The sequence below is a fragment of the Homo sapiens genome, chromosome 3, assembly GCF_000001405.40.
Source record: "Homo sapiens chromosome 3, GRCh38.p14 Primary Assembly".
Taxonomy (NCBI): domain Eukaryota; kingdom Metazoa; phylum Chordata; class Mammalia; order Primates; family Hominidae; genus Homo; species Homo sapiens.
The window spans coordinates 158,590,343-158,614,536 of record NC_000003.12 but is presented as its reverse complement, the minus strand read 5'-3'; the positions used below and the strand labels follow the sequence as shown (position 1 = coordinate 158,614,536).

The window sequence follows — 24,194 nt, the reverse complement described above, 5'->3', positions numbered from 1 at the left end:
CCAGTCTGGGTGACAAAAAATTAAAAAAAAAAAAAAAGGATTCCCACAGATAAAAAGTCCAAGGGAAAAAAAAAATGAGTTCATAGAAAAAAATTACAGGCCGGGCATGGTAGCTCACGCCTGTAATCCCAGCACTTTGGGGGTTTGGGTGGGCAGATCACCTGAGGTCAGGAGTTCCAGACCAGCTTGACCAACATGGTGAAACCCCATCTCTGCCAAAAATACAAAAATTAGCTGGGTGTGGTGGCGGGTGCCTGTAATTCCAGCTACTCAGGAGGCTGAGGCAGGAGAATTGCTTAAACCCAGGAGGTGGAGGTTGCAGTGAGCCAAGATCGTGCCACTGCACTCCAGCCTCGGTGACAAGAGAAAAACTCTGTCTCAAAAAAAAAAAAAAATAAATAAATAAATAAATAAATAAAAAACTACAAAACACAGGGAAACAAGCAACATGAGTAAAACCGGTAGAAACAACAAACATAGAAATAGTCTTCAAATAATTAGAATTATTTGACACAGAAAATATTATGCATATGTTAAGAGTAATAAAAGAGCAAAATGAAAATTTGAGCAGGAAACAAGAGACTATAGATACCAAGCAAAATTGAAAAAGGACCAAATAGAACTTGTAGAAATGAAAAATAACTGACATTAATGACATAGCAGAAGGGTTAAAAATAGGAATAAACAGAGCTAAAGAGAGAATATCACTTTAGTGATAGGTAGAGCTAAAGAAACTATCCCAAATGCAGCCTGAAAAGACAGAGGTAGGAAATATGAAAAGATTAAAAGACATGGAGGATGTTATGGACTGAATGTTTGCTCCTCACCTCCCCTCCGAAATTCGTATGTTGAAATCCTAACCCCCAATATAATGGTACTAGCAGGTGGATCTGTGGGAGCTAATTAGTTAATAAGGGTGGAGCCCTCATGAATATTAATGCCCTTATAAGAGGGGCCAGAGAGAGTTCTCTAGTGCTCCTTCCACTATGTGAAGATAGAAGAAGTCGGCAATCTGCAACCTGAAAGAGGGCCCTCACCGGAACCCAACCGTGATGGCATCCTGATCTCAGACTTCCAGTTGCCAGAACAATGACAAATACATGTTTGTCATTTAAGCCATCCAGACTATATAATTTGTTATAGCAGCCTGAACTAAGATGCAGATAATGTGGGAAGATCTAACAGATATCTTTTGGGAGTTCCAAAAATAGATAACAGAATTAGAAAGAAGCCCTATTCAAAGCAATAATGGTTGATAATTTTCCAGAATTGGTAAGACATCAAGTCTCAAACCCAGTAACCTTAATGACTCCTAAGTATGATAAATAAATCCACACCTAAATATATCCCAATTTTAAAAAAAGTGAAGAGTATCAAAGACAAGTTAAAAAATCAGCAAAGCGGCTGGGCATGGTGGCTCATGCCTGTAATCCCAGCACTTTCGGAGGCCCAGGTGGGCAGATCACCTGAGGTCTGGAGTTTGAGACCAGCCTGACCAACATGGAGAAACCCCATCTCTCCTAAAAAACAAAATTAGCCAGGCGTGGTGGCACATGTCTGTAATCCCAGTTACTCGGGAGGCTGAGGCAGGAGAGTTGCTTCAACCCAGGAGGCAGAGGTTGTGGTGAGCCAAGATTGCACCATTGCGAGACTCTATCTCAAAAAAAAAAAAAAAAAAAGTATCAGCAAAGCTGCCAGAAATAAAAAGATAAATCCTCTAAGGAGGAACACCATCATACTGGTTGCATATTTTTTCATGAGCAACAGTGAAATCTAAACACCAAGGAAGTACTCTATTTAGTATTATTTGGGAGAAAACAATTGTAAAATTACAATTCCATTACCAACAGTTTTGCTCAATTAGTGGGTTAAATAACAACAATTTCAGATAATCTCCACTTCAAACCTGGTTCAATTTAACTGTGAAAATAGTCTTTTTTTTTATTATACTTTAAGTTTTAGGGTACGTGTGCACAATATGCAGGTTTGTTACATATGTATACATGTGCCATGTTGGTGTGCTGCACCCATTAACTCGTCGTTTAACATTAGGTATATCTCCTAATGCTATCCCTCTCCCCCTCCCCCCACCCCACAACAGGCCCCGGTGTGTGATGTTCCCCTTCCTGTGTCCATGTGTTCTCATTGTTCAATTCCCACCTATGAGTAAGAACATGCTGTGTTTGGTTTTTTGTCCTTGCGATAGTTTGCTGAGAATGATAGTTTCCAGCTTCATTCATGTCCCTACAAAGGACATGAACTCATCATTTTTTATGGCTGCATAGTATTCCATGCTGTATATGTGCCACATTTTCTTAATCCAGTCTATCGTTGTTGGACATTTGGGTTGGTTCCAAGTCTTTGCTATTGTGAATAGTGCCGCGATAAACATACGTGTGCATATGTCTTTATAGCAGCATGTTTTATAATCCTTTAGGTATATACCCTTTCTCAATGAACTTCCAAAGAATATAGTTCAGGCCAGACACAGTGGCTCACGCCTGTAGTCCCAGCACTATGGGAGGCTGAGGTAGGAGTACTGCTTGAGTCCAGGAGTTCGAAACCAGCTTGGGCAACATAGTGAGACCTTGCCTCTACAAAAATGCCTAAAAAATTAGCCAGGCATGGTGGCACTTCCCTGTAGTCCCAGCTACTCCAGAGGCTGGGACTCTCAAGAAAACAAAAAACAAATATAGTTCAGGAAGGAAAAAAAAAAGATCTCAGATGGACGGTCTGGGGTACAAAAAGTGGATGGTGAGCAAAAGTATTGTGGGAAAATATTTTAAAAATTGATGATACAGAAGAATATTTAAAATGATGAATTTGATACTACATGATCTCATTCATATATGGAATCTAAAAAAGTTGATCTCATAAAGAGTAGAATAGTAGGTGGGGCACGGTGCCCACCCCTGTAATCCCAACACTTTGAGAGGCCAAGGCAGGCAGATACCTGAGGTCAGGAGTTTGAGACCAGCCTGGCTAACATGGTGAAACCCCGTCTCTGCTAAAAATACAAAATTAGCTGGGCGTGATGGCGGGCACCTGTAATCCCAGCTACTCGAGAGGCTGAGGCAGGAGAATCACTTGAACCCTGGAGGCAGAGGTTGCAGTGAGCCAGGATCGCGCCACTGCACTCCTGACGGAGACAGTGTGAGACTCCATCTCAAAAAAGAAAAAAAAAAAGAGTAGAATAGTGGGTCACCAGAAGCTAGGGACAGTAGGGAAGATGGGAAAATGGGGAGAGGTTGGTTAATGTACAAAGTTACAGTTAGAAGTTCTAATTATTGCACAGTATGATGACTACAGTTAACAAATAATGGATTGTATATTTCAAAATAACTAGAAGAGAGGATTTTGAATGTTCTCACCACAAAGAATCAATAAGTATCTGAGGGATAAGTATACTAATTATCCTGTCTTGATCATTACACGGTGTATACATGACATGTATCAAAACATCACACTGTCAAAATTAAAAAATGAATTTGAATACAATAAAACAATCCAACTATTCCAGGGCATAAGAAGCTTGCTCCTTTAGACTCTGCCTTTCTCACCTCCACACTGCATTTTGAACTGCTGTCTACTTTTTTGCACATTTTTCCCTGTGCTCTGACCACAGCCTTCTCCCAGTGTCAGCCTCCATATGCATGGTAAAGACCCTCTCCTGTCTCTTGTATGTAACTTAGATGTTACTTACCATGACCCTGGATTAAAATAATTGGTAGAATGGGCCTGGATGATCCAGAAACGTTAGAGAAAGAACTGAAAAATATGTGGCCATCCATATGGCAAGCTATCCAGTGCCTTAATTTTAGAGAAAATATAAAATGTTGATTACATTCTTCTTGCAAAGTATGCGAGGCAGAAAACCATTTTGTTTTTCGAAGTCAACTACTAACTTGCATTAGTCTGGTTTCTCTGAGAAGCAGATGCCAAGAAAGGATTAAATGATCAAAGATTTTATTAGGAGAAACACCTGAGAGAGAAAATGGAGGTAGCTAGGTAAGGTTGAGAGGGCCACCAGTCAGTCATACAAGTTTGATCCCGAGTGAAAGAGAGAGGGAAGGAAGAGTTGGTGAAAGCATCCTATACTGCCTTTCACTCTCCAGAAATTTTGGCAAGGCCACTGGGGAGTTCTTGAGCCAAAGTCAGATGTCAGAGTCCAACAACTCTCAGGAACAGACCTATCCCTGCAGGACTTAGTCACTGACTGGGAGCGGCCCATGGGAAGACCATTCTCAGAGAAAATGCACAGATGGATCAGACCACAGCCAGCCAACCCCTCTATCAACTAAATCCCCTGTAGTTGGCCAGCCAGGTGTAGTCTCTTGGTCACCACCCAAGCAAACATCTGGGCTTTGAAGGAGGAGATTCCTATACATATGTAAAAGAAGAAATTTCAGCCTGGTGATATCATTATTGATCACTTCATTGACAGGACAATCACAAGTTCTCAGATCTTCTATGACAGGAGTCATTCCTGTGCCATATTCCAAAGCCTAAACCAAGCTGCCCCCAAACTAAAGAGGTTCTCTGCAACTGCCAAGAAGCTAGGACTGTGATGTCACTCAAAGGGGACAACGGACACAAATGTAGGCCTCTGTTTTAGCTCCTGAGCAGAAATATTCTTGTTCTATACTGAAGGGGTGGATATTATACGACTACAATTCCAGAGGTGGAATTCTAGAGGTAATAAGCTGGAATTTACTATACCAGCATTGCCATGGCTACAGACAGTGATTGCTACAAGGAGCATGAATATGCAGTTAATAGAGTTTTGAAGACCCTGACAGAAAATGCAAATAAGATCTTAAACTTACTCTTCACTTATCATATCACATATAGGGTTCATGGAATATTCAAAACCTCTTTATTACGTGAAGAATAAGAGCCAATTTTGTTAGATTACAAGACATTAAAATAACATGGCTGCCCAGGAGAAAAGATTATAATTTCAGTCACATTGGGATACTTAACTTGAAATAATGTGATAAATACATGTAGTTTCATGTCTTGCTCATTTAGGAAGAACTAATGATATGACAAGTAATGGCTTACATTGGAAGCTCCTACAAGACCTACGCTGCTTAAAATATACAGAAAAGCAAAGCAAATCAGCTGTAAACATATGGAAAAAGATCATACTTCATTAATTATCAGAGAAAAAGTGCAAAATTAAGATAAGGAGGTAATATTTTACCTCTATTAAAATTTGTAATAATAAAAGTTTGAGAGGTAACCTCCACCATTCTCTTTGGGCAAGGGATATGAAAAAAATGGACATTTCCGGGACATTCATTGGTATGACTATAAATAAGTACAATCTTTCTGTAATTTAGTAAAATGTATCAAAAATTTAAAAATAGCTATACTCTTTGAATTGGTAACTCTGTTCCCATAATTTATCTTAAACAAATTATCAGCAATACAGTTATGTATAAAAATTATATTCATACAAATTTACAATAGCAAAAATTTAAAACAATCTGAAATACCAAATATTTGGAGGTAAAGTATGGTACAGCTATAATTAGACTCTGATGTAAACAATGAAACTGAAGATCATGTTTTCAAAGAATATTGTCCTCAAGAAATGGTTACTCCAAAATGTGAAAAATCAGGATATAATTTTACAGTATTTTGTTTTTAAAATTCTATATATCCACATAAAAGGACTAGAAATGAATACACATTATCTTTTGTTGTTTGGGGGATGATGGGATAATGGGTACTTTCTATTTTAGCATTCTTCTGCATATTTACATTTTCCATAATAAATGTAATCAAATAGTAAAGTCGATCATTTTAAAAAATGAAAACAACCTGAGAAAGTTCCAGTTCTTGAAAACACACTGATTCTGGTGAGGCAAAATTTGAGGCTGGAGTATTATGAAAAGTCGTTTTTTTCTTAAAAATTAACTCTATGCACCATAGAAAAAGGATTATTAATGTCTATATCCCACAATCATATTTGTATGTATCAGTTTATGATAGTCTATAAACCATTTTAAGACTATATACACAATGTAACATGTTGTATATTTTTCAGATTAATATTTTATTTCCACTCCTTTCACACCATAACATTCTTCAAGTACCAAAGTCCCTAGCTAGTCTTTTTCTCTTCTCTAATGTTTAAGAATTATTTCCAGAGTTTTTAGCTGTACTTAGTGGGAAGAATAAGAAAAAATATGTATGCTCCATTTGTTTAGAACCAGAAGTCTCTTCTCTCAAATATCGCTTCATATATTTTAATGCTACGTTATTAGGTATAATTGGCTTAGAATTGATGTATCTTCCTGATCAATCAAATCTTTTTTTAGCAGGGTCCCCCTTTATAATCTAGTAGTCACTTTTTGCCTTAAATGTTTTATTATAATATAGATATACTAACTTTCTTATGGCTAATATTTGCCATTGTATCTTTTCCATCATCTGTCAACCTTTTAATGTCTTTTGAATATGACTTTTGGAAACAGTATAGTGCTAGATTTTTTAAAAATTTGAACTGACAATGTTTGCTTTTTAATCTTTTTGTCACTAATTATATACATATTTGCATTTATTTCTCATCAATTTTTTATGTTTTGTATTTACCTTTTCCTCATTTCTTGCCTTGAGATTGAATTCATTTTATCTCCTTCAAAGGTATACACTCTATTGTCTATTCTTTTAGTGGCTACCTTATTTTGACAAGCATTCTTAACAGTCATCAGTTAATCATTTATTTTTACTTTGAACCTTAAGAATACAAGGACCTTAGAAAATTTTAATTCTGATTATCTTCTTCCAATTTATATCTATTGTTCCTTATTTTAATTCTAGGATTAACATTTCCCAAAAGATTAGCCATTAATGTTTTATAAGTCTGGAATTTTTTTTTTTACAATTAGCAAATTACGTGGAAAGTAATTTCATAGATCTACACACATTGACTTTTCAGACTCTGTTTTTTTTTTTTGAGATGGGCTGGAGTGCAATGGCGCGATCTCCGCTCACTGCAAGGTACATCACTTTAAAACACCCTGTAACAGAGCACAGTGAAAAGAAAAAATATAGTTCTTCCTGTTGAAGACTTCCAAGAATAAAAACAAATGTCATTCTCATGAAATTAACAATAATGAATATACAGATGAAAAACAAGCTTTTAATTTCTATTTATTTTATTAAAAAACCTCATGAACTCACATAAAATAATTCATTGGCTCATAAAAGGAGTGGAAATAAAATATTAATCTTAAAAATAAACCATCCTACCTAGTATGTGTATATAGGTTTTTTTTTTTTTTTTTTTTTTTTTGAGATGGACTCCTGCTCTGTTGCCCAGGCTGGAGTGCAGAGATGCGACCTCGGCTCACTGCAACCTCCGCCTCCCAGGTTCCAGCAATTCTCCTGCCTCAGCCTCCTGAGTAGCTGGGATTATAGGTGCCCGCCACCACACCCGCTGAATTTTTGTATATTTAGTAGAGACAGGGTTTTGCCATGTTGGTCAGGCTGGTCTTGAAGTGACCTCAAGCAATCCACTTGCCGCAGCCTCCCAAAGTGCTGGGATTACAGGCATGAGCCACTGCGCCCGGCATGTATATAGTTTTAAATAGTTTCAATTTACAGACTAACAGTATTAAACACCCATCATAAGAAGTTGTTGCAAACAAATATTATTCTGGGGTATAGATATCGATAGTTATGTTTTTATGGTGCAAAGATAGAGTTGACTTTTAAGAAAGAAACAGAACTTTTCTCGGTACTACCATCTCAAATTCTGCCTCACCACAATCTCTAACTGCAATCTGATGTACAGGAATTATACTGTTAAACACAATTATTTATTAAAGGGTGTTTTTAGATTTGACTACAATGATTCAAGTTATCATCAGTGTAATGATTTAGGCAAAAGGAAAATCAAGTATGTACTTTATTAAGACTTTGCTCTATCAGGTTAATTTATATCAAGATGTTATTTAAAATGTGTGCCTTATGACAATTTCCCAATGTGTTATGGTATGTTAGGAGTATACTAAAGTATGCCTAAAAGGAAATTTTTAACTAATACATGCTCAATTTCAACAATGAATTAACACATTTGCATTTTATTTTAATGACTAAAGGCATAAAACACAAACTAGTAAAATTAACAAAAATATTATATAAAAAATTAGAGAAGTATGAACATAGTCATATAATTTTACTTACAAAATTGAAAAGAAAAATACTTAGGATTATAGAGTGATAGCAATTTTTGGGGGCTTTTTTCCTTGACAGAAATATTAAACAACAAATGTGAGTTAAGATTTTATATTCTTATAAACTTCAAACCTAACTTTTATAAGAACAGACTGATGCTTAAATTCTAGAATTAAAAAGCTAAAGCTGATTTTTAATGGTATAATTAAAACAGAAACAACTGAATTATTAAGACGTTGCTCAAAAACACCCATCAGCTGTCTAACAGATTTTGAGACAATGTATCATTCTGGTTTGGAGAATACCAAATGCATTTTTCTAAATGTCACAAAAAAGCTGAGCAGAGTTTCTCCAAGGACTCTCCAGCTTCAGAATGTTAACCTTGGAGACAGATGAAGCTGTTTGTGGGAAAGGAGAGTAGAAATATGCCACATTAAGAAGTTAAAGAGAATGGTCAATATAATATCTGGTGAATATTAAGAATGTAATATAGAAAAGATACATTCTATAAATAAATTATAACCAAAACAATCATGTACATTAGCAATTTAAAATATTTTTCTCTGAAAATGAACTATTTGATTATCCTTGCCCTTTATCAAAATAGTAACTATTTTCTCATAAAAGAGTACTAGTGTAGTTTTGCTTTATTATTTTTAAAGTTTTAAGCTAGTTGGCTTTACAACACATTATAAAATTAGAGATAAATTATTTAAACCTTTATTAATATCACCCTAGTACAGTGTTAGTAAAAACTGAGACTTTTTTAACATTATAATTTCTTATAACTAATTATAAGTGATAGAACTGCTCTGCAATCAATCTTGATAAATATAAAAGAATATTTAGCCAACACAAAAACAACTGGGGAAGCGAAATAAGCATATAAGCTTTAAAAAATTAGTATGTTTTAAAGAGTTTTACATTAAATAGACTCAATTTACTCACATTGTTGAAAATCAAAATTTTATTCCTAAAAGAGGGACAATATAAAGCTAGGACCTTCATGAACATTCAGATATCAGAAGAAAGTTGCCAAGGACAGAACTGATTTAACAGCAAGAGATTGGTCTTATGCTTATTACCCAGCACCATTACTAACTGTTAAAACAATCAAAACTAAACAAATCAAATGCATGGCTATTTATTTTTTGTTGCTTTTCACAGATGAGCCTTTGATGTGGAGTTTGTCCCCCAAAACATTTGATCTCCTTCCATGTTCAATGGCTGGACTTTGTTGAGGTTTCTCCCTGAGAAATATACATGTGAATATTAATATCATTTAAAAAATGGCCAATGGTTTATAAATCAATACAAACATGTTAAAAACCACTGTAATATAAGAAAAGTTTTATCTTAAAAATTCCTTAATGGCTTTGAAAAACAAGGCTGGCCAGGTGCGGTGGCTCATGCCTGTAATCCCGGCACTTTGGGAGGCTGAGGCAGGCAGATCACAAGTTAAGAGATCGAGACCATCCTGGCCAACATGATGAAACCCCATCTCTACTAAAAATACAAAGATTAGCTGGGCGTGGTGATGCGCGCCTGTAGTCCCAGCTACTCAGGAGGCTGAAGCAGGAGGATTGCCTGAACCTGGGAGGTGGAGGTTGCAGTGAGTTGAGATCGCGCCACTGCACTCCAGCCTGGCGACAGAGCCAGACTCTGTACCCCCTGCCCTAAAACAAAAAATAAAAAACAAAAAAAACCAGAAAATAAGGCAGACTATTTCAGTGAATTTAAGACAGCAACAGCTGTTTTCCTGTTAGATTTAACTGTTTATAGTTTAAACACTGTTTAATGTTAACAGTATGGTAGTCACTAACCACATTTATATTTGAATTAAAATAAAATAATTCAGTTCTTCAGTTGTACCAGCAATGCTTCAAATGTGAATCAACAGCCACATGTGGCTAGTGATTACTACACTGGACAGAATAGATATATAGCATTTTTGTCATTACCGAAGTCATTTCAGAAAATGCCATTGGACAGTGCCGGTTAAGAGAAAATGCCACTGTTAGGGCCAGAAATTTATAGGTCATCCATAAAGAGCATGCCTTCTCTAAGTGCGACCTGGATTTCCTATTCAAACTTGGCACTGCCAGGTTTTTAATCAATACATTTTTCAAATGAGACAAATATCTATAATGAATATGGGAGCAAGTTTTCAAGCAATTCAATAGAAAATACTAGGGCTCTAAATTCCTAAACAAGTATTTTAGAAGAAAAGATCCTAGCATATGAAATTCTGCATAAGGCTTCTGATTTACTTGATACTCACTTGTCCACTGCTAGTTCTGTGAAGGCTTCCACCTTCTGTAGCAATTTTCCACTTTCTTATAGCTTAGAACAGATTTCTATTTAAGGTCTGGTGAGGCCTTTGAGTGTAACTTCATAGGAATTAGATATTATTATCCATTTATTCCTCTGAGAACCACATTAAACTGTAGCTCCAGAGTATGTACAAAATGTATTTAAAAACTCTATAATATTTATTTATTTATTTTTGAGATGGAGTCTTGCTCTGTCACTCAGGCTGTAGTGCAGTGGTGTGATTTTGGCTCACCACAACCTCTGCCTCCCAGGTTCAAGCAATTCTCCTGCCTTAGCCTCCCAAGTAGCTGGGATTACAGGGTGTGTGCTACCACACCTAGCTAATTTTTGTATTTTTAGTAGAGACGGGGTTTCACCATGTTGGCCAGGCTGGTATCGAACTCCTGACCGCAACTGATCCACCTGCCTCGGCCTCCGGAAGTGCTGGGATTACAGGTATGAGCCACCATGTCCAGACAGAAATCTCTATAATCTTTAATATGTGGTTTCAGCAAATTTATTTTTCTCAGCTATTCTAAAAGGGAATTCTAAAAGAAGCTAATGTTCTTGCAAAATTCTTCCAAAATATCTAATACACATCGAATATGGTATTGCATGTACTGTTACATATTATACAAGTGTCTGAAATTTACTATTAAATGCTAAATTTTGATTTGTTAAGAAAGTTGTTAAGTCTTCCAAATAGAGCCCCTCTCCCCTTATCATATCTCTAGATATCTTTACCAGTGTGAAATGTATGACTCTATCTATATCCATATTACAATGTGTTTTACAAGAATAACTACACTACAGGATATCAGTTTTCCTTAAGAGGATTTTGGTCTCTGTCTTCTGAGGCATAGTTTACTAGTGAATTACTAACCATAAAATCCTAAACTATTATTGATTTTTAGATATAAATTTAAATTTGTGTGGAATAATCAGCTTTCATATAAAATTATTACATCTTTCACAAAAGATACTGTGGATACAATTTGGATGATCATCAAAACTTTCTGATAACAGAAGTAAATTACATAACTTTACTTCAAATTCTTCTTAAAAAACCAAACTATTTTAGAAACAACTTTTACCTTCTTTTAAGTTCTCGGGAGCCAGGATTCTCATGGCCAACACTTCTCATTCTAGTGTTTCCTAGATTGTGTCGTCCTGGTTTGTACTTCAAAACCTCACTTTGCCACTCCTCATCAAAAGCATGAGCATCACCTATGTCAAACAGAAAAATAATGGGAATAAGTATTAAGGTATCAACTGTCAGTAACTGCCTTGCTCCCACATATTTCAGTCTAGTCTGGTGTTTTCATTAGTGTAACCTCAATACAGAGGCAGGAAGCTGCTTCAAATATAAGGGTCTTTGACAAAAGTAGTATTTGTTTTCCTGTCTGTTCCTCTCCTATTCCTACTGATGATCTAGTTATTGATGATCTATTTTTTCAACTGCCTGGATAACATATTATTCTACCCAATGGACCAGCTGACCTAATTATATTAACTAACAGTTTTTCTTCCTGGGTCATCTCACAGTGAATATACTCTTCCTGTATAGTGTATACTTCTGTGGCTAGCACTTCTATTCACCTAACCATCTTTCTGTGTAACTTGACCTCACAAGTTTCTGTTGTCAATTTCCTAAGACAGGTTACTCAGCTAGAATGTCAATTCATGTTGTTATGAAGTAATCTAACTTCCATAATAGCAACAATAGAGACATGATAGTACTTCTTAAGACTGCTTTAAAATATTATGTTCCTTCACTCAATTTTTCATCAAAATGTTGATTATTGTGAAATACTCAGTATATATATAAATGTGATAAAATTACAGAGGTTACAAATAAACACAGGTCACAATATCATGGCTTCTATCTTACTGCATAAGAATAATTTTATCAAACCCCAGCCAGGTGTGGTGGCTCACGCCTGTAATCCCGGCACTTTGGGAGGCTGAGGTGGGCGGATCACAAGGTCAGGAGATCAAGACCATCCTGGCTAACATGGTGAAACCACGTCTCTACTAAAAATAGAAAAAATTAGCCAGGCATGGTGGCGGGCACCTGTAGTCCCAGCTACTCAGGAGGCTGTGGCAGGAGAATGGCGTGAACCTGGGAGGCGGAGCTTGCAGTGAGCCGAGATCACACCACTGCACCACTGCACTCCAGCCTGGACAACAGAGCGAGACTCCGTCTCAAAAAAAAAAAAAAAAAAAAGAATAATTTTATCAAACCCCAATGTTAATAGAATTTCTTCCTCCCCTCCACCCAACACAGTCTTGCTCTTTTGCCCAGGCTGGAGTGCAATGCGTGATCTTGGCTCACTGCAACCTCTGCCTTCCGGGTTCAAGAGATTCTCCTGTCTCAGCCTCCCAAGTAGCTGGGATTACAGGCGCGGGCCACCATGCCCAGCTGATTTTTGTATTTTTATTTATTTTATTTATTTATTTTTTTGAGACAGAGTCTCGCTCTGTCGCCCAGGCTGGAGTGCAAGGGCTCGATCTTGGCTCACTGCAACCTCCGCCTCCTGGGTTCAAGCGATTCTCCTGCTTCAGCCCCACGAGTAGCTGGGATTACAGGCACGTGCACCACCATGCCCGGCTAATTTTTGTATTTTTAGTAGAGACGGGGTTTCACCATGTTGGTCAGGCTGGTCTTGAACTCCTGACCTCGTGATCTGCCCGCCTTGGCCTCCCAAAGTGCCAGGATTACAGGCGTGAGTCACTGTGCCGGGCCCTGATTTTTGTATTTTTAGTAGAGATGGGGTTTCACCATGTTGGCCAGGCTGGTCTCGAACTTATGACCCCATGATCTACCTGCCTCGGCCTCTCAAAGTGCTGGGATTACAGGCATGAGCCACCGTGCCCGGCCAGAATTTCTTTTTTAATACAACAATTTAAAATTTAAACACTCTATTATGGAAAAACATTATTCAAAATACTTTCTGAAACTAGGAGATGAATCCAACTAAATTTTAATATAATTTCATTATTGAATTAATACAATTAAATATAAAAGCTTAATATTGATTTAAAAATTAATAAAAATAATTTAAATTTAATGATTAAATTTGTTAATAAATTGTAATATAATTAAAAACTACAGGGAGAAGAGTTAGGACACTAGAAGGATGTAAATGCATTGAAGAATAAATACAAAATCCAGAAAAAGAAAAGATTTACTTGAGAGAGAGAGACATACATGTAATCTAACATATAACAGAAATTAAAATCTTGTCTATACAAAAGCCTAAGTACTACTGAACAGTACAGAATGATTTAAGTAAAAATTATGGCTTATTTACAATAAAACTTTAAGGTAACCACTTAAAATGCTTTTGAAAAATAGCATCATAAGTAACTTTACAATTATAATGGTAAATTAAAATAAGCACAATATAAACTATATAAAAGTAGAATAATAATTTGAGAAAAAAGTGTTTATATATATAAAATGATTAGGAAGAAATACATTAAAATATTACTAGTATTTTGAGTTTGGATTATGGATTATTTTTGTCTTTATACTTTTCAAATGTACTTTCTTGATAATCAGAAAAAATATTTAAAGACACATTTTGCCTAATGATATTACTAAATAACAATTCAAAAGATTCCACTTTCCAAGGATAAAATAAAAATAAGTAATATCCCATATTGCCAAAAATCACTATAAAAAAGAGCTCTCCTATGAAAGGATGAAAACACAATCCTATTACTTTCACAAGGTATTCTCTACATGCATTATTCAAAAACTACATCTTATGACATGTTTCTAAAAAAAAATTCATCAAGTACGGCTGTTATTTTAAATTTATAAGAAAGAATATTATTTTTTTGTGATAACTTACTTTCATTCATATTGATGAACTCCTGGTTGACCTCTTCATCTCCAGTCTTCTTGTTCTTTGACTTTTTAATGACATGAGCTCGGTCATGGATATGATGACCAATAGCCATTTTTTCTAGTCCACTGTCAGAATCTCTCATTGCTTTCCTGGTTTCCTTTATCTGTAAAAATAAAGAAATTTTATTATTATTTAAATATATATAGAATGTATATCTCAGGGCCAGCTTACCTACAGAGATATGGCCATAGATCTATTGCTCTAAAAATAATGTGTGCTCAGTTCCACTATTAACTTGTGGTAAAACTGTGGTAATAAGTCTCTGATATTTCCTGAACTCCTTAAAATGAAAATGTCTACAACAAACAGAACCCATACAATTTAACCTTTTTCCAAATTGTAATCAAATATTAAAACAAAAGTAGCAATTATAGTTTAATGCCTTCAAGACTGTCTTAGATAATGTAATAGAAGGAAGTTTATGGTGGGATTCCTACAAATAAGGGCAACTAATTATTCATCAGTCATATTGATTGGCTTGAATCTCATGATTCCCGACTATCAACTCTATGGAAGTATTATAAGAATATTTCTGATAGCAACTAACATGATTTACTGTGGGACATCTACAATTATATTCTGTTTACATTTAAGTTTGTCACTTTTAGAAAGTTAAAATTAAAATGTCTGAGATTAATTAGCAGAACTATGGCAAAAGCATCATTAAAAGGTTCATCTTTATATGTAAGAACTAAAAAATGTACTACTTCACATTCATTAGATTGGTAAACCTAAATTTTTACTATAAGTACTAACAAGGAAGTAGAGAAATGGAAACTCACAAGCCACAGTTTTGGAAGCCAACAATTTCAATCACTGGGATAGTAGCTTGGAAACGCTAGGTAAAGAGGAAAGTACACATACCCTACAACTCAGCAATACCACTCCTAGACTCTGTATAAGGAGCCATGTATAAAGATGAATTAGTGAAAGATTAGACTCACCTACATATCTATTGACAGAAAATGATTTAAAAATCATGGTACATTCATATTTTGGATATTACATAGAAGTTAAAGAAACCAGGGCCACATGTATCAACTTGAATAAATCTCAGAAGCGTATTAATCATAATATATTCATATTTTGGATACTACATAGAAGTTAAAGAAACCAGGGCCACATGTATCAAGCTGAATAAATCTCAGAAGCATATTACTCAGCAAAGACAAGTTGCAGAGGACATATGCAATATGATACCCTTTATGTAATGTTGGGAAATCTGGAAAATAATCCATTTTTTTAATGACAGAAACGTGAAGTAATAAAATTGTAAAAACATGCGTGAAAATGATAAACTCCAGATACAGGAAAATGGTAATCTCTGAGAAGGGGAGAAAGGGAAAATAGACCTCAGAGGAATGTATTAGAAGGTTTAACTGCCTCTGTACATTTTCGCTTAAAAAGAAAACAAAGCAAGAGACAACTTGAAGCAAATAGAGAAAAATGTTATGATATGACTAAACTGGGTGGCAGGAATATGGGCACTTATTATGTTATTCTCTATATCCTTTCTGTACACTTGAAATATTTCATGAGTTAAAAAATTAATTCACTTCAAATGTAAACTTAAAAATAGACATTAATTTCATGAAACAAAGGCTTCTTTTCGTGTTTTGTTTACCTTGTCAACATGTAAAGGTAATAAACATCCATAGATATTTACATGAAAAAAGGCACCCTCACGGGGGGGTGGGGGGGCTACAAAAAAAATGCCACAAACTAAGTAAATACAGTTGAGCTTTAATGGTTTCCACAGTGAGGACTACCTTACCCCCAACCCCCACACCTCCCTCCTGTCCCCCCACCATCTTGTACCAGATTAAATTTTAATAGTTAAAATTTGATCTAGACAGTCTATCATCCCCTAACTTTATAAAACTTTAGGAATGCTTATAGAAAACTTACTCCTCCTGGAGCTCGACGAGTTTGAGTTGAGGCCTGAAAAACCTTTGGCGGTTCATCTCCTATTTTGGAATAAGTCATAACTGAGGAAGAACAAAATGAATGTCCATTTGGATCCACTGAAAGTTGACCCTACAGGTAAACAAATTGTAAATTCAGTCGAGTCAAATATAAATAATTATTGCCAGAGAGTTCAAATAAGTAACAACACTAGCTGTAAGTTCTACTAAGGATACTAAACTACCAATATGGTGTAGTCAAAGGCACACCCAGGTTCTCAAGTGAGAAGTGACTTGAAAAATTACCTCCGCCCAAAAAAAGTCACCCCTAGAGGGTCCTAACGGTCGTCCATTTTAGGTACAATTATCCCACTCTCGTTACAAAGACTAATAAGTGACTCACTCAGAGATCCTTAAGTCTTTGGGTGCTCGTGGCTTAGATTTCAATAAAGATGCTATGCCCCCAAACCTGTGATACTTCTATAGTCAGTGGTTGACCCTTGTGTGTAATCTTGCCAACATTAAGCCAATCAATTAGTTATACATCAAGTTTCGTACCTCCTCCTGTAGGTACCAGATTGCTACATTACTAAAACCAATAATGCCCTAGATTATTTGGGCATTCTGAAATGATCCATAGAATTCAAACTGGATGACTAGAATGTTATGGGTCTTCTTCAGATCAAATCAAGTGACTGGTTTTGATGTTAATATAGAGAGTATTATTATAGTACTAGTTTATTTGGACTATTAGGGAACTATACCTAAACATTATTCCTAAAATTTCTGTTTTCAGAGTCGTTTATAAAACCCTGAAACTCTTCAGATGCTACAAATCCTTTTAAGTAGACAGGTTATTAATAATAAAATTATGCAAATTCATATAAAATGTTCATTTACAATAGTGACTTTCAATAGAATCAATGTTTTTGAGGTTATTTTTTTTCCAATTTTTAAAAAATTTTCAAAGTTAACATTATTTTTCAAACTTGGAGGTTATGAACTCAATTTAGTGGGTTGTAACCAGGATTTTTAATACATGAAATAGACTAGAAAATAACTGTATATACTGTAAATAGTATAGTCATTTTTTCATGAAACTTTTGCTTCAAATATATTTATAAAGTATACAAATATTGCTTATTGGGTTAATCATGTAAGGTATCTTTTTTAACCACTATGGTTAAAAAAGTGTTTGAAAGCCACTATGAAATAGAATATATCAAAGTATACACAATGTTCTCAATGCTTTGTTTTTAGTACTTACGAAGTTTCTTTCTAATTTCTGCATATAGTTTCTCATATTTGACACCATTTGGTCCATTGTCTGGAAAGAGCTGACATCTGTATGCTACAGAATATCAGGAAGTATGTTATTAACTGTAGGTAACAACACAAAAGATGCAAATACATCTTCCAAAACAGCTAAAACATTTTTTTCCAATTCATTTAGTGAAATCTCATGCAGTAATCAACCAGACAAAGATAACTTAGAGGATATAATGACAGTGATTAGTTAAGGAGAAAATTGAAGCATACACAAAATCCCAAAGAGCCAACATACAAATAATTAGGGAACTGTAACATTATAAATACATATATGTGCATGTATATATAAAAACACATACACACCTAATCACTCATTACTCACTTTTTCAAAACATAATTTGGTGTATGTTAAATACTAAGTGATACATTCTCTAGCATACGATAGTTTTCATAATTTTCCTTATCTCTCAATACTCCACCATGCAAATAACTAAATTTGCGTATAAGATGCCAGTGTCACCTCCAGCAGTACCACATGGCTGACAGAAGTTGTCCCTCGAGTAAGTAGCCAGCCTTCCTCTCATCATAGTAGGATCTGGGTGACAGAAATCAATTCACTTTACTAATAGGCCTTCAATTTGCTGCCTACTGAAGGGTCAGTAGGCTATACCCTTGAAGCATGAGGTATGTGTCTTCAGAAAAACAGTTAAGAATTCCTCTAAACAGTAGTTTCTCAACCAAGATTGATTTTGACTCTCAGTGGACACTGGCAATAACTATACTCATTTTTGGCTGTCACAGATGAAGAGAGCATATAACTAGCATCTAGTGGGTGGAGGTCAGGGATGCAGCTTAACATCCTACAATGGATAGGACAGTCTCCCAGAACAAAAAGAATTACCCTGCCCAAAATGACAGTAGGGCTGAGGTTGAGAAACTTTGCTCTAGGAAAATCTACCACTGATTTTAGGTTTTAAAATCTACCACTGATTTTAGGTTTTATCACTGGAAGACTCACCAGAAAATAAAAGTCAGGCACACATTCCAATGTGTTAGCCAGTAAATCATCTGTTATAAAACAGAATGAGTTGCTTGGTTTAATGAACTTCTCTGTTCAACCAAGCGGAGCTCTGAATCCTCCTAAGTTCTATTTGTGTCTCTGTGTTCTATTGCTATTGGATTTTTACAGATATAATAATGTAAAATAGGTGGGAAAACCAAATTCCTCCTTAGAACCTGCACTTAATATTGTAGGGAACAACAAAGGCACATTTAGGAAATACTAATATATATTTGGGTAAAAAAGGACTGAAGTAGAATTAATTTTGCATTTCAGAGAGGCAAACACAATTCAGGGAATATTCTGAATATTTGCTTTAACACTAGATTGAGAATCCGTTCTTATTTCATGAGATATGGAAAGGTTAACCCAAAGAAGGATAAAAAGAGAGAGAGGAAAAGATTAGACATTTGGGTATTTCTGCCCTCTTCTCAATTCATGTTCAAATCAACCATCAAAAGATGTATCTGCACTTGCTCTGGGGTGACCCAACACACTGGAGTGACAAAAAGTTGGGGTACAAAATGTAGTTGAGACTTCAGTGGGCCCTTAAGGCCTTCAAAAATTTTGTACACATTCTCCTCTTTCTTCCTTAAATGTTTCCTCCTGACTTTAAACCTAGTTAGTTCCTTCTCATGATTCAAGTATCACCACCTGAGAAAGGCCACCGCTGGTCACCTGTCTAATCCCTCCTTCACTTCCCCCCATCTCTGTATCATTACCCTGTTTCATCTTCAGGGTACTGTGACTATCTGAAATTATTTTGTTGTTTATTGTCTATCTTCCCACTTTATAAAAATAATCTCTGAGGGCAGGGCGATTTTGTCTATTTACTACAATATCCCCAATACATATATAATAATTCCTGGCACTTAAGAGGGTTTAATAAATATTTGCGGAATGAATGAATGAATAAATTATCTCTAGCTCAGCTCAAATCCATATATCCAACAGTTTACCAGATAAATCTACCTGGAAAACTCACAGATGCCTCAAATGCCAAACATCCAAAACTAAAATGATTGTTTTGACCACCTCACTCCTGTATCTGTACTGAATCAATGCCTTATCTCAGTGGCATTCCCATCTACCTTATTCTTCATGCCAGAAAAATGGGTGTGATACTTCCCTTCTCCCTCTCTACTGCTCCTTCAACCCTGTCAATCACCAAGTTCCATCCATTCGCCCTTTTAACTCTCTCTCAAATGAGGTAATTCATTTTTATCACCACAGACATTACCTAGTAGAAGTAAGCCATCACTAATACTTTACCAAGAATGCTTCAACAGCCTTCTGGCTTCCCTGCCTCCACTATGGTCTCTTCTAATATTTCAAGAATATGACTCTATTACCACTTTGACGTAAGTCATCACTGCTTCCTCTGCTTTTAAGATGATGTTTACTCTCCTTCTACGGTCTAAAGAAGTCTCTGGTTACCTCTTCTTCCTCATCAGTATCTACTGTTCAACTCATACTCCAGGGCTAAGTGATACTAAACATGTTTTAGCTCCCTAGCCTGCAGGTCTTTGCACATGCTGTTTCCTCTCTGTTGAACAGTATTCCTTTCCCCTCCCTCCTTTTCTGGCTAACTTCTACTAATCCTTAAAGTTCAAGAAGTCTACTTGGATTGACCCACCCCACCTCAAAAGGTGCTTTTTTCCATCTGTGCTCCCATAGCATGCTGAACTTCCTGATCATTTTACTCATAACTCTGTGTTATAACTGCTTTTTTTTGTTATTTGTCTTACTAAATACTCTGGTCAGGAGGGATAAATGTTATACCTGTATGCCAAACTTCAAGGAAACAAATGATTCAATTGTAGCACAAAATAATTAAAAAAAAACCGTTTTCATGAGACTGTAGATACAAATGTTCCAAATTCATGTTATTTTCTGCTACTCCCCAGAATGCTTTTAGTGTGTTGGAAGCTAGCATCACAGACACAGCACAAAAACCCTAAGAAACAGGTGGTAGAAACGCTGGTTGCAGAGTGGCCATTCTTAAGAACAGACAAGAAAAAGCTGCCTGGGCAAGGTGGCAACAAAATCCTAGAGAAAGCAGTTAATCTGTGCTTTTCCAAACGTTGTGCTTATCTATCTACAGTTTAGTACTTTTTAAAAAACCTTTTGGAAAGTAATCATAAGCATGTGGAAGTCCCCAACTTTCAAACACAACTATGAGGATCCCTTTTGTAAATCAAGCAAATATTCATTCAATAAAATCTACTTTTTATTTTTGAAGATGAATTTTATATATGTTGAAATGACTTACTTCAGGAAACATGTGCCTAAACTTTCTAAGGTAAGTCTGATACTTGAAACAGAGGTTTTCAGTACAAACATTAAAAAGCCATTATGGAAGTGAGGCTGCATGCCAATTCAGTCAGCTTGAGTTAATGAAAAATAAATATTTGTCAGAAAATATTGCTAAAATGATTTGTGTCTTAAGATACGAACCATACCACCAAAATCGCCAAAAGGCACAAGAGAACAACTCGTTGCCTGGAAAAATAATATCCAATTCATTTGATTATGACATTTATTATATAGAAGTTTCTCAATTTACCAATTAAATGTTTACTGAATTTCAAATTGCTACATTTCAATTGCTGAGATTCATCTTTATAGAAACCCCTGAGGGCTTGTTATCTTAGAACTATCATTCATGAGGCTGAAAAAGCAAAAGAAATAAAAGAGGCAAAAAAGAAAATGGTTACAATATATAAATATCCTGTTTTTTTTTTAATTTTTAGTTGAGTATGTTTGTAACCTCTAGCTTTGCTCTAAGGCAAGACATATGAAAATATATTTCAGTTGTAAGGCTTTTGAGATACAAGCAAAGGTTAATCTAAGCTTTGAAGGTCCATACGTAACCATATAGAAGATCAGTGTTTCCTGGTCCAATAAAGACAATCCTTTGTAGCTTTTGATACTATTTTCAAGTATTAAAACAATGAGTATGGGAGAGAAAGGATATTTCCTTGCCTGTTCTAATTTCAGATATCAGAGGAAGTTATAAGGTGAGAAATGTATACATAAATATAAAAAATAATGGTTTAAGTTTTGCTTCTAATATATGCTTCTATGGACCTAACAGTTTTGGTAGCACAGTGAAATTCCATATAGCTGACAAGTCACTGTTCAGGATTCACCTTTCCAAAGGTCCCCCCTTTTATATAATAGTGATTTCTAGAACAAGAATATTAGTCATATCCTATCATTATAGATATATACTTCTGTAATACTTTTCTTCAAATTCCTACAGGGCCTTCTCACTAACTGTCTTAAAAAAAAGAACTTACAGTCAAAGAATCTTCACCATCATTATGTCCTCTACGATTATGAGCTCTCCCTCTACCATCAGAGATACTGAGCAAGTCTCTTCCAAAGGGTTCAGAAAAACTTCTTATCATCTGTCGCATATTTTCTCGGTGTGCAAGAATGGACTCACTGTTGAAAATATACATAATCATGAAAGATTCAGTGTTGGAGTTTAAATAGTAAGTAGGCAGGTAAATATTACAAATAATTATTTTGGGCTAATATGTTTGTTAGATAAAAGAAGAGTAGAAGAGAACTCTATTTTATTCATAAATAGAATAGAATTATCTCATAAAGATCCATTATTAGATGGTTCCCTACTTACAATGGTTTAAGTTAAGGTTTTTTGACTTTACTGTGGTATGAAAGCACTCCACATTCAGGAGAAACAGTACTTCAATGATCCATACAGCCATGCTGGTTTTCACTTTCAGTATAGTATTCAATAAATTACATGAGACATTCAACACTTTATAATAAAGTAGGCTTTATGTTAGATGATGTTGCCCAACTGTAAACTAATGTGTATGTTCTGATGATACTCGGTAGGTTAAGTGTATTAAATGCATTTTGATGTATAATATTTTCAATTTGCGATGGGTTCATTGGAATGTAATCTTATCGTTAAGTTGAGAAGCATCTGTAGTTATAAATAAAATTAATGAAAACCTGTTACTGTTATCCAATATAATTCATTTAATGCATAATAAAAAAAACATCTTTATTTATCCCATATTGCATAAAAATACCAACACTATAATCTGATATTTACCCTTTCATCACAAGTCTCATTAAAGAACCTAAATTTTTTTTTTTTACCTTATCACAGTGGTTTCCCAACTTTGTTCCAGTTGGACAGTTACTGACCCACTAATCAATTCCTTATTCCTCGTTCTAGAACTTAAGGTACACCATGATTGGAGCTCACTTTACCAAGGCAATCTTATGCTTTCCTGCAGCCCAGTGGAACTCCCTCTCCAATAGTCTGGCCTCCTTTCAGATTCTCCACTTCAGTTATTCTTCTTAGGTCACCCTTCCCCCTTCTAATTCCAATCCTCTGATGTCATCATAAAGAAGCTAGAAAGTTTTTAAAATTTTTTCTTGGCCAGGCGTGGTGCCTCATGCCTGTAATCCCCGCACTTTGGGAGGCTGAGTCAGGTGGATTGCTTGAGGTCGGGAGTTCAAGACCAGCCTGGCCAACATGGTAAAACCCCATCTCTACTAAAAATACAAAAATTAGCCGGGTGTGGTGACGTACGCCTATAATCCCAGCTACTCCGGAGGCTGAGGCAGGAGAATTGCTTGAACCCGGGAGGCAGAAGTTGCAGTGAGCCAAGATTGCACCATTGCACTCCAGACGGGGTGACAGAGCCAGACTCTGTCTCAAAAAAAAAAAAAAAAAAGAAATTTTCCTTGCAACTCCAGCTCAAAGGAGGAAGCTCAAAGGAGGAAGCTCAAAAATTCTGTCTTCTGCTCATAAGTCCAAGTAGAAAGAGCTTTTCCTCTGAATTTCATAGTATTTGTATACATAAACCTATTCCAAAAGAGCTCAGATTTATTCACACATTACCTTGGAGGTTAAAAAAAGCATAATTGTTCCAAGTGTGAGTTTAAGATTAGCAAACTGCTTAACTGGATTTGTGCTTGTATGTATAGACAGATGTTTTCATTCAGCCTTGTTTAGGCATAATTTACATTCAACGAAATTTACCAATTTTGTTGTACAGTTTGATGAATTTTAAAAAGTGCAGTCATAACCTCCACCATAATTAAGATGTAGAACATTTCTATCATTCCAAAAAGCTTCCTCGTCTCTTTGCAGATAATTACCTGCTCCTAGCCCTAGTTACCATGAATAGGCTTTCTGTCATTATAGTTTGGTCTTCTCCAGATTTCATATAATGGAATCACATAGTATGTCATCTTTTGTGTCTAGCTTCTTTCCCTTAGCATAATGCTTCTTTGATTCATCCATGTTGTTCTCTATTTCAGTTCATTCAGTTTTATTGCTAAGTTCATACATATATCAGTATCATAATCACAAAACTGTTTTTAGTTTTTGGCTATTATGAATAAAGCTACTATGAATATTTATGTACTAGTCTTTGTGTATACATAATTTGACTTAAGTAAACACCTCAGAGCAAGGACTGATGGCTTGTATTAGAAGAGTATGTAAATTTTATGAAAACTGTAACTGAGAGTTCCAGTTGCACTGCA

At 35.5% G+C, this 24,194-nt stretch overlaps 1 protein-coding gene and 1 pseudogene across 20 annotated transcripts in view; one reads left to right on the top strand and one right to left on the bottom strand.

Moving 5' to 3' along the window:
* On the top strand, nt 4,338–4,904 carry MTAPP1 (methylthioadenosine phosphorylase pseudogene 1; annotated as a pseudogene).
* Nucleotides 8,081–24,194, bottom strand: part of MLF1 (myeloid leukemia factor 1) — a 35,263-nt gene continuing 19,149 nt past the window's right edge. For 6 of the 20 annotated variants that reach the window (NM_001378848.1, NM_001378847.1, NM_001130157.3 and 3 more), the window contains 6 exons: nt 21,956–22,103; nt 17,592–17,675; nt 16,329–16,457; nt 14,364–14,523; nt 11,598–11,730; nt 8,081–9,440 (listed from right to left, as the gene is read on the bottom strand). In NM_001378848.1, coding sequence (NP_001365777.1) covers nt 9,335–9,440; nt 11,598–11,730; nt 14,364–14,523; nt 16,329–16,457; nt 17,592–17,675; nt 21,956–22,075 — 732 coding nt within the window. In that variant the 5' untranslated portion in view covers nt 22,076–22,103 and the 3' untranslated portion in view covers nt 8,081–9,334. Of the gene's footprint in view, nt 9,441–11,597; nt 11,731–14,363; nt 14,524–16,328; nt 16,458–17,591; nt 17,676–21,110; nt 21,156–21,955; nt 22,104–24,194 lie in introns of all 20 variants that reach the window. The other 14 variants (NM_001195434.2, NM_001369785.1, NM_001195432.4 and 11 more) reach the window with 6 other exon arrangements.